This window comes from Homo sapiens, chromosome 4 (genome assembly GCF_000001405.40).
Source record: "Homo sapiens chromosome 4, GRCh38.p14 Primary Assembly".
Lineage (NCBI taxonomy): Eukaryota > Metazoa > Chordata > Mammalia > Primates > Hominidae > Homo > Homo sapiens.
In genome coordinates this window covers 181,160,235-181,172,158 of record NC_000004.12, presented here as the reverse complement: position 1 = coordinate 181,172,158, position 11,924 = coordinate 181,160,235, and the positions used below count along the sequence as shown (strand labels likewise).

Genomic DNA, 11,924 nt, shown 5'->3' with positions numbered 1-11,924 from the left:
CAGCTACCATCAAAGGCTGTCTGCAGGGTATGGAATAACAGCAGAACCCTCATCCTAGGATAATTTTGTCAATTCCACTCCCACTCATGCAGTAAAAACTCAGCTAGTAGCAGCTAATAGTAGCTAATAGTTATTGAGTACTTACTATATGCTAAGTGCTTTGCTTGGATTATTTCATCCAACTCTTGCACAATTAGCAATTCCGCTCCATTGCCACAGTGAAACTAGGCTATATTACGGCTATCAGCAGCTGATACATATTGAGCATTTACTATGTGCTAAATGCATTCCTTGCATTATCTCATTTAATCTTCACTCCAACCCTCTGGTCTTGTAAGCACAGATGATTTTAGTTCTTTGTGATTTATTTGGAGAACATGGTCAGTTGTATTCACTTCTCCACCTCATGGAGGTCTGGTTCATACTGAGCTGCAATTTGCAAACAAGATGGCTAAGAAGATGATGAAGAAATAAAAGAAAGAAGAGGGAAGGTGGGAAGAAAGAAGAAAGATAAACTGCTTTATCAACTGCCTTCTAGGAGGGAAGACCCAGGCTTCATTTCTCTTAATTCTCATTGTAACCTTTAAGGGTGGTGTGTTTATTTTTCCCATGTTAAAACTAAGAAAATAGAAGCATGCTAAGGTTACATAATTCCATCAAGTCTCTATGATCTGCAAGTGAGTTGTCAAACAATAGAATCCTATGTGCAAATCCCTGAGTTCACAGGCCTGGCAGACCCCTATTGCCATTGCCTGGCACTCTTGGGAACAGGCTGAGCCAAGGACCTTCCTCAAAGACAGGAAGCATAGCTGATGTCATAAGACCCTATGCTGGGGAGGAGCACCAGGAAGAGGATGGATGTTTAAATGTTGAAAGCACTTTTGCCTACTGGAGTATGGCAGGGCCAGGAGAGGACAGCCATAGACATGGCCTATGGCAACTCACTCCACAGGAGCCAGCCCACTGGTTTTACAAAGCTTTGGCACTCAGCTCCTTCATCCTACCCAGGCATTAGACAGGGCCGATACCATGTGGACTCTGAGACGCACGTGCTCTCCCCTTCCTTTGCCTCTATTTGCTGTGTTTTTCTCATACGGTCATTGTAGTACCCATCTTAGCATTGACAATGTCTGTATTTTCCTTAAAGAAAAAAACTGCATTGCCTCTGGACTTTGAGCTTCTTGAGAGAAGGGACTTCCTTTATTTATTAATGAATCCCCAGGACTGTTCACAGAACCTGTTGACCCTGTATAAATATTTGTTGGATTAACACCATTCAGGCTGAACACAAATGCTGTATATGAAAAGACAGAGGATATCTATTAGACTAAGATGAGATGGGCTAGAAAAATATATATATATACACTGTTTCTGCATATATTTCAGTTAATGCCCTGGGCTGAACTTTTTTTTTTTTTTGTGATGAAGTCTTGCTCTGTTGCCCAGGCTATAGTGAAGCAGTACAATCTTGGCTCATTGCAACCTCCTCCTCCTGGGTTCAAGGGATTCTCCCACCTCAGTTTCCCAAGTAGCTGGGATTACAGGCCTGTGCCACCACGTCCAGCTAATTTTTGCATTTTTAGTAAAGATAGAGTTTCACCATGTTGGCTATGCTGGTCTCGAACTCCTGACCTCAAGAGATCTGCCCACCTCGACCTCCCAAAGTGCTGGGATTACAGGCGTGAACCGCTGTGCCTGGCCAGCTGAGGTTTTCACAACCTTTCTTCAACCTTCCACATGCTGCTTCCTATTCTTCAAACTCCAACTGTAAGAGGGTGACCTTTGAGTAAGATCTGTCTTTGACGCCGTGGCACTGTGTATTTCAGGGGCTAGCTGGGCTCATTGTGTATTTATTCCACGATTTCCAAGGCCAAGTTGTTAGTCACTTAAAATAGGGCATCCATTTTTATTTTATACCCAAATCATAAAAGATTGCTTAAAGTCAAGCAGTCAAGCAGGCTTGTAGTGGTGTCTCCATAATCATCTCAGAAGATTTAAAGCACCAGAGGAAGCTGATAAATTCTGTTTAAAGCTAAGCATAAGCATGGTCTAATGTAGACTGAATCAATTCAGTTAAAACATCCACCAGGAAAACATTTAAAAAGGTGATGGCTTTCTGCCCCTAAGCCCTAAGTAGCAGTCCTGAGTAGTAAGTTAAAATTAGAATTTGTTAAAAGTATGCAGTATGTTTATGAAGGGTAAGGGATATTTGAAAGCAATATTTAAATATTTTTAAAACATGTCTGATGCAGAAGAGAAGATTTCACTTTCTCTTTAGAGTTACTGAGGCGCAAGATAAGAGTAGGAAAGTTCACCCGGCCATGTATATTTTACTGCAAACATGTCATTTTAGACATCTTTCAAAATGTATCTGGAATATGGAAAACAGTCCTACTGAGCTATTGTTTGGCATAGCTCATTGACATATTTATGTTTGCAAAATCAATCAGATCAGGGCAACTGTGAGTTTTGGGTTTTTTTTTTTTTCCTGTTTGAGAGAATGGAGTCTTGGAGATTTCAGTAAAAGTAAAAATAAAAGAAATGTGCAATGCATTTTGCCTATTATGTTGCCCTTAAAATTAAGAAAAAAAAAGACAGAAAAAGGGAGAAATTAGGAGAATGATTTAGGGATCCAAAGATACCGTAATAAGTGGCCAATGTGTAACAATATAAGGATACTGAAACATATCCCAGAAGCTGGTTCCAGGACCAGATTTTCATCCTACATGCTGTGAATTTTCAGAAAGTCAACAGCTATTAGACCCTCACATGTCTCTTCTAAAATGATGGCAAGAAACACAGTTCTCTGCTTCCCAGAACGGTCATGAGGATCCTATAACATACATAACGTATATAAAAGCATTGGAAAACACCACAACCACCATCACAAGAGTACCATAGACAAATGGAATTAAGGTTAACAATGTAAAGCAATTATTATTTAATTAGAACAAGCTATTGTCTCGGAAATTCCATGTAACTTGAACTTTTATTTCAATTTATTATATTCTTATTTTCTACACTCTGAGGAGAAGAGAAACACCTATTTGAAATGACATTTTTAGAAAATCATACTTGAATTTGATGTATCTTATATTCTCGCTCCACCTGGGGTAGAAGGAGGGTGAAGGGGTGAACGGTAAGCTTAAGAAAAGCAGGCTTTCTTTTAAAATTAGAATCTCAAAGGAATAGATTTTTACAATAGTTACAATTCTTAGCCAAGATATAAATTTAATAATATAAGGGACAAAGGAAGGGAAGAATATTGGAATCGTTATGCGCAGGACTAGCAGAAGATTTTCTTGTAAAACAATGATAAAATGGAGAATTGTCTCCAGGCAGCAAGGAGTCATATCAAACCCTACCTTGGGAAAGTTTTCCAAAGTTGTATTTCTTTACTTTCTTAAACATCTTCTGGTATATCAATTCCAGCAATATTTTGGCAGCCTAAAATTACACCATCCTGACCTTGACATTAGTATTCAACAGCACTGATGAAAGAATGACAGCTTCTCCATCCTAGTGAGTGATCTTGCAAGCTTTTCCCTTCATGACTATGGAGTTTCTGTCAAATGTGCTTCCAGCTGAATGATCACATTCTTTTGAATTATGAAGTGGCTGCAAACTGTGCTAATTGGGTCCACACTGATGTCACTGATAAGGATTAAACAGCCTTGATTGTCGTAAGGTCACAAATATATGTAATTTTGCTATACATGTATATTCCTTTTAGCGTAATCCATAACTATAGCCATGCGGAATTCTTTCGTTTAATTAAAATGGTCATTAAAGACATTAAGATGAATCAGAGGCAAATCATAAAGAGACGAATGGAATAGCTAAGAGCAAATGTAATGAAAGGTTAAATATCGTGATTTTTTTTATTATTTATGAAGTGTGAATAGTAATGCTTGGGAGTGCAGAAAATATTTAAGAGGGTTCCATCTTTGCCCAGAAGGATTGAGCTATAAATGCAGAAGAACAAAGAGCAAATATCAAGCCACAGAAATGTTGAGAAATAATGTCTTGAACGAATGTAGCTTTTCTTTTTGTGTATTACGAAATCTTTTCTACATTTAAAGACTTTCAGTGGTAAGCTTCTAAAAGGCAGGGACAAGACTAGAAGAATTTTGTACTCTAGCCAGAATACTGTAATTTACACATGGGCATTTATTAATTAATTACTGTTAGATATAAATGTAACAGTCCGTATGAGATTCTAGAAGACAGTAATGAACTTCTGCAACATAGTTCAGTGCTCTCTAGCCACAAAATTATACCGATATTTTAAACCGGTGAAATTTGAATAGAATAGTTGAAATTAGTAAATTATTAAAATAAGTTGCCAAGCTACTGAATATCAAAGTATAATAAATTACAATACTCTATTAAGAAACAAAATTGCCTACTCAGTTGCTTCATGAATTTAATATGGGTATGCTGAGTACTCTCAGTAAATAATGTTGTCATTGCATATTTTATACAAAAAGAGGTACAGAAACCAATATTTTCAAAACTTGAGATACTTTGCAATATGCAGGCTTAAAAAATACTAACTTGTCATATCAGCTTTTGTAGAAAAAAATACGAATAAGATTATGGTTGCCTTTAGTTTCTCTGATCTCATAAACACTCTGCTAGACCCCAAATGCTTTCCTGAATTTGTCCTTCTTGTCGGGTTTTGATATTTGTATATATGTTTATCCTCTCTATAAGCAATAGAGAGTATTTTACGTGTTTTATAATTTATAAAAATGATTTCTTAGTTACATATCCTTCAACTTGCTTTTCTCACTCAACATTAATTTGAGGAATATCAATATTGATACGTGTAACTCTGGTTCATTCATTTTAGATTCTTTATAGTATTTCAATTATCTCATCATTTGTTTCTTCAGTTAATTAAATATTTATTGAGCACCTACTACATTCCAGGCATTCTTCTAGGTGATGAAGACTTAACAGCCAACAAAATAGAAAAAGTGGCTGCTATTGGAAAGCTTACTTCTTAGGGAGTGGATTCCAACGGATGCATCTGTTCTTCTGTGGATGCTTTCAAGTTTTTATCATTACAAACAGTGCTACTGCAAACAACCCTAAACACAATCACTTGTGTATTATTTAAGAGGGGAAATAAAAGAAGTGGGATACGGGGTTTGTCCCTGAGGCCAACTTGTTATGTAAAGTGAGTAAGCTAAATTTACATGCCCATCCGGGATATAAGGGAACTCCCATCTATTCATATTCCCCCAACAGGGGTCTTGTTAAACTTCTGAACTTTCGCCTCCAGATGGGTCTGTAATGGTACTTCAGTGGCATTTGCATTTTGTTGATTCTAGGTGAGGTTGAGCATTCACTGTGTAATGACGGTCTCTTCATTTCTCATGGCTTATCTGTTTGTATTTATTGTCTATTTGTATATTAAGTTAGCTGTCTTTTTCATATTGATTTTCAGATGTTTTATGTGCTCTGGAAATTAATTTGTTATTGCCCATATGGGTTGCTTTTGTCTCTGTGTGTGGCTTATATTTTTTCCTTTTTAAAAACATACTGTTGTCCTGCAAAAGGTATTTCATTTCAATGCAATGATAGTTACTAATATTGTTGGTTAGGAGTCTGTATTCTTCATTTTTAAGGAAATTATCACTTACCTCAATGTCATAAGACATTCTGCTCTATTTTCTAAATGTATTAAAATTTGATTTTTAATATTTATGTCTTTAACTCATCAAAAATATAACTTATATTTGAAAAAAGGGGCTAGGTTTATTTCATTTTTCCATATGTGTAACTATGTTAGTTACTATGACGGTAGTTAGTACGAATGTTCATTACTCCTCTAGTTCTCTTCTCTCTGGGCCCACGAGAGGATAGGAGTGCTCTTTGGAACTGGATGTGTCCACGTGGCTCGCTTTGACCAATGGACTATGAGCAGAAGGATGTGTGTATACATTTAATGTAATGAGACTGGATCCAGAAAATAAGTAGAGAATTGGCTTTCTGCCTAGGTTCCCTCTGAGCAAATTTATAAAGTGGGTGAAGCTTTTTTGGATGTACCCGTATCGTTCTTCTGTCTCTGTCATCTACTGCCTATCCGCTTGTTATCAGGTACTCTCTCAAGGTAGCGTATTATTAAAGCACTGTCTATATTGACAAGACTTCATCCTCTGCACTTATCTCTTCACCCTCCACCCAAAAGCAAAGTATAGTAAAACAAACCTATCCTAAAATCCACTCTCCAAAGAACGCTACAGTCTCCCAGTTATAACTATTGGATAGGAAAATTACTAAGAAATTCACTGCTTCCTTTTTTCCAGCAGTGAGGTCATAGTGACAAGATATTTGCATTCTTATAGGGAATAATAAGGCTTCAAAAATCCACAGAAATGAATTTCAAAAGATTTGAATTTAAGCAGACTTTGTTTTAAAAAAACAGTCCTACCGCTTACTAGCTGTGTGACTTTGGACAAGCTTCTCAACCACTCTATACCTCAGCATTCTCATCTTTGCAACAGAGATAATAATACCTAGATTACAGTGTTGATACGAGAATTAAAATCAATTGTGTCCATACTGAATGCTTCGTAGAGTGCCTGGCACATAGTAAGTACTCATAAATGAGGCTATATGTATTATGATGTTATTGTTGCTCTTACAATTGTAATAGTGATTGTGCTATGCCTTGAGGTTAGGAGAACAGAAGTTTTAGGGTAGAGTGCTTTCCTGATATCACAAGACATTCCTAATAGCACAAGAGGCAGGCAGCTTTCTGCTTTGTCCATTGAGAAAAATTGCTTATTTGAGTATTATCTTTTTTGAGGCTTCAGAGGTAATACAAGGAGTTAAGGAATTGGCTATATATATATACACGTATATATATATATATATATATATATATGGATATATTTTTGAGACAGGGTCTCACTCTGTTGCCCAGGCTGGAGTGCAGTGGCCCAATCCTAGTTCCCTGTAGCCTCAAACTTCTGGGCTCAAGCAATCCTCCTGCCTCAGCCTCCTGAGTAGCTAGGACTACAGGTGCAGACCATCAGGCTTGACATATTCTTCAAACATTTCATTATTTTTGGAGATAGGGTCTTGCTATGTTGCCCAGGCTAATCTCAAACTCGCAAAGTGCTGGGATTACAAAAGTGAGCCACTGGGCCCCGTCCTGGTTATTTATTAAAAGTAATTATTGCTAATTAACCTGGCAAAAGTATATTATTTTTAAAGAAATAGAGATATTTGCCAACAAGTAACATTTTCACCATCTTTTCATTCTTCTTCTACATTGATAACTAAGTCAAAAATAATCTGCTAAACTTCTGGAAAACTTTGTACCATTCTACCTTGGAAAAAAAGGTTTCCTTTCATAGGTCCATTTCATATCTTCCAAAAAAGATGAACCTAGCTAGAGTTTTACATAATAAGAGGTGAAACGTGTAAGTTTTCATGAAAGTAATGAAATATTTTAGATTCTGATTTTATGTCACCTAAAAGGTTTTTTTTAAATCTCTCTCAAGTTTTTAGAAATAATTCTACCTTCTTCAAAATAAACCAAATAAACTTCCTTGTTTATGTGATTTCTTGTGGAAAGACACTATATCTAATCCTCTCCCTTTTAATTTCATAGACTCATAGAAGTCAGATTATTTTTAAAGTTTATATTATAAATTGTTAAAGACTAAGCAAGATGTATTTCTAAAAATTGAAACGGGGACAGTTGAAATACAAATCAATAAAAGATGAAAGTATTTTTAGTGATTAAATTAAATGACTAAGGGATTAAACTCATCCTAAGAACAGTTAATGGTGCTGATTGTTCAGGTCTCATTATGCCATAAATTATTAATTTATTTTCAAATAAGGAACATGTGAGACTTAATTAATTTTTACAAAATGTTTGATGATGTTATTATTAGAGGAAGTGTGGATCAATATTATTATTACTTTAACTATTCAGTGTGATTACAGCTTTCCTTGAATCTGCTTAGTTTGGACTTAAGTTATTTTATTTTATTTTTTTTAAATGGAGTTTCACTCGTGTTGCCCAGGCTGGGGTGCGATGGCACGATCTTGGCTCACTGCAACCTCCACCTCCTGGGTTCAAGTGATTCTCCTGCCTTAGCCCCCTGAGGAGCCGGGATTACAGGAGTGCACCATCATGCCGAACTAATTTTGTATTTTTAGTAGGGACAGGGTTTCACCATGTTGGCCAAGCTGGTCTCAAACCCCTGACCTCAAGTGATCTGCCCACCTCGGCCTCCCAAAGTGCTGGGATTACAGGTGTGAGCCACTGTGCCCGGCATCATAACTTTTATAAGTTTTTATAATTTGGTCTGCGTTGATAAGAAATAAACGAGTCCTGAAATCATCACTATCTTTATATGAATGCTATGCAAAAATTAATTTCAAGACCAAATACATCAGCCTGAACTTGACTCACAAGTACTTTTGTGTTAATGCTTTACCTGTAAAACTTTCTCAGCTGACTAACATAATAAACCTAGGAATAATATTGTATACTGCTATACTACTTTTCAGTTTACAAAGTGCGTTTTTGGGCATTAGTGCATTTAATCTTGGCAAAGTCTTTTGAGGTAAGGAGGAAGACAGGGCACCCCATTTCAGAGATGAGAAAACTGAGGCCCAGCGAATTCTCCTACAAACCAGGCTTATGAGCATTTCTAGGATGAGAACTCATTTTTTTCTGACGCCCTGGAGCCTAGATCCCTGTGCATGTTACTATGACAACTTAACACAGGAGTATGCAAATGTGTGTATGTATATGTGTGTGTGTGTGCGTGTGTACATATTTCTTTCACCTATGACCAAAAAGGAGAACCGCAGTAAATAGTTCCAGCATGCTTTTGCATGGTTTAAGGCATTTTATAGTCATTCATTAAGACTTTAATTTGGAGACATCAGCAAAGGCAATAAAACTCACAAGATTAATTGCTAAATTAGAAGGAAGATGGACTTAAAGTTAAATTTTACTTCTAATTCTTACTTGAATATGCTCTTTTGTCATTTTAAGATACAAATTGGGAAAAGGCTAGCATATGATTCTTTTTACACTGGAGTCTACACTTTACACTTTGGGATGTGTGGAAACTAACTTTGTTTTTCGACAGGGCAAAAGAGAGTCCAGGAATCTTTATGTTGAGCCAAAGTCCCTTCAAGTTAATAATTATTATTTGTGTTTATACCAGAACAAAATAAAACAATAGTTTACTGTATCTGAAAGATCAGCGAAGCTTAATATAGCACCAAATCAACCCTTGCTAAGAGATTCCAGATGGCCAGGGACTAGAGGCTGCAGAGGAAGCTGGGGGAAGCGTATTGCCCTGAATGCTACCACAGTTAATATGAACAGCATGACGGTGACATTACTTTCACTAAAAATGCTAATAATCTGGAAGGTTTGCATCACTATACCATGTGAACTTTTTTAAATATAATCTCCACTTCTGTCGGAATCGTTTTGATCATGAAGAACATTAATTCTACTGCTTCTCATTTTTTTCATTTATGTTAAATGATTAGAAATACAAAATCATATCCAGTACCTAAATGACTATAGTTGCAAAGGATATGTTTATAAGGTTCACTTAAATTATGAAAATATCTTTCACATAATACGAGCTTCTTTCTCTAAAAAGAATCAGCATTGAGTCTTCCTCCTTATTATCTTGATGAGTCAGCTTGTTAAATGAGTAATTTGTTAATGAGATAATTGCACCTTGAAAAGTTTCTATCACATATGCAATTTGTAAAGGGTGCTTTTAATACGTGACTTTAAAAATTGTCCCCATCAGAGATTGACTGATATAGAAAGTGAGGCAGGTATACTTATCATTGCAATAATACAGAGAAAACTGTATCATTGCATAGATGAACAAGCAAATAGCTTAAGAACTACGTTGGAGATGTTCAATTTATAAATATTGTTCTTAAAGTTTATTTTAAAATGTAATATTGTTTCTGCATCCCTATCATCAAAGAATATCAGTTAAATTTCCAATAATCGAAAACAAACTAAGTACATTAAATCAAAAGAACAATTGTGATCAGTGTAAGTAATAATTTTTCAGTTGTACCCTGTGAAACCTTAGGGATTTGATGTTTTGAAAACAATCCACTTTTGTGAATAATGTTTATGCATTAATTTGGTAGTGTATGGCCCAATTTAAAAGACTACGTACTCCAACTGTGCTGACTCTCATCCACAACATAGAGCACTCACTTGTGCACAATACTTGGTGTTGAAGCTACTTCCTGGAGCCTTTCAGTGACTAATGGTGACTCTCCTTAACGTGTTATTCTCCCTCCTGTGGTACAAACATGCGTAATCTGATTACCATTGGCATTTGCTCTTTGTAAGACTGTAATTATAACACCAGTCAAAGGCTTGTTTAAAATATTTCTGTTCAGTGCAGTTTTTCCAAGGTCAAGTTGCGATAAGTGGGGTAGAAGATGTTGGATCAATTTGAACACTATTGAGAGGGCTGCCGCATTTAGAGTTAAAATTAACGAGGATCCTATTTATGCGACTTCATCACAGCAACTCAAGAACTCTCCTGAAAACGCATCTCTAGTTTTTGTTTTTTAATGAAATGAAGAGCTTCATATTTGCTAAGAGGCATGCTGTTCAAGCAGCAGGGCCGGTGAGAGAGACGCCCTCTCAATGAAGATGAGGAAAGGGAGAATCCGACTGGCAGCCTGGACAGAGGAAGGGAAAATAGAATTAACAGAGGTTTTTGAACCAGAGGAGATATTTCAAGGTACAAGAAGGTCATATCAAAAAGGACAAGCAATGAAGAGATTCAAGGAGGCGGAAAGGCAGCATTAGGAAAGCGAGAACGGAAAATCATCTCAGCAGCCACATCCTGGAGCGAGATGATGGAAGGGGAAGCCAGGGAGCAGATAAGATCGGTATCGAACTGCCATTCAATAATTCTTACAAGGAAGAATTCACTAAAGTGGAAGCAACATGGGGTGTGCCACCGGAGCCTGGAAATTTCGTGATTTCTTTTTATTTATGGAGTATTTCCAAATTCCTTCTGGATGGACGCAAATTTTGTCATGAGCCTTGGCAGGAAGTTTAACCCACAGATTTAATATATTACAAATTCATGAACAGAATATTTCAAAGGCACACCTCCATCAGCTTTAGAACTATGAAAAAAAGATCATAGGGATATCTTTTTCTTTTAGTGTTTCTCAAAAAATAACTTGCACAAAATATTTTGTAAGAAACTCCTTATTGAAGGAGAAAAGAAAACAAAACACAGGACATGGCTGTGGCTACATAAAGGCCAATTCAGTTTATAATTTGTGAGGTAGAACCAGGCAGTGGAGTGTCAAAGTTCAGAGCATGGGCCACCCTAAAGTTGGAGGTAAATCTTGGCCCCATCAATTTCTAGTTGAGTGGCATGAAGTCACTTAAATTACTCACTGCTTCAGTTGTTCAGATGTAAAATGAGGATAGAATTCTGCATAATTTAGTCATTGTGAGAATTAAAGAAGTTAATACCAACAACACCGTTGGAATTGCACTCAGCTTGTAGTAACACTTAATATCATCTATTAGGCATTAATAACTTTGTAATTCAAACCACGATTCAGCATCAACTCTGATTTTTATTCCTATTATCACCAACAATGAAGAAAGTTAGCATGTGTGTATATATATGCTGTGTACATATGCATACAGCATAGCAATATAATGTATAATGATAACATATAAAACTCTTATTCTGACAGTTTTTTTAAAAATGCCATTGCTTTGAGTGGGGCTTGCACATGTATTTTCATGTCATGATTGAACGCATCATACTTTTAATTACAAAAAAATCTAAAAACCCCTGTTCAAGTTGTTCATTATCAGTTTTCAGAGCAATATTAAAGGCCACAGTCCCAGTCGC

The 11,924-nt window shown here is 36.4% G+C and overlaps 1 annotated feature.

The window, feature by feature from the left end:
• Positions 4,717–5,548: an enhancer, noted in NCBI's record as "OCT4-NANOG hESC enhancer chr4:182087764-182088595 (GRCh37/hg19 assembly coordinates)". NCBI's record gives its function as "activates a minimal SCP1, AML or CMV promoter by ChIP-STARR-seq in primed H9 embryonic stem cells {active_cell/tissue: H9 hESC(primed)}" and the evidence as "EXISTENCE:reporter gene assay evidence [ECO:0000049][PMID:30033119]".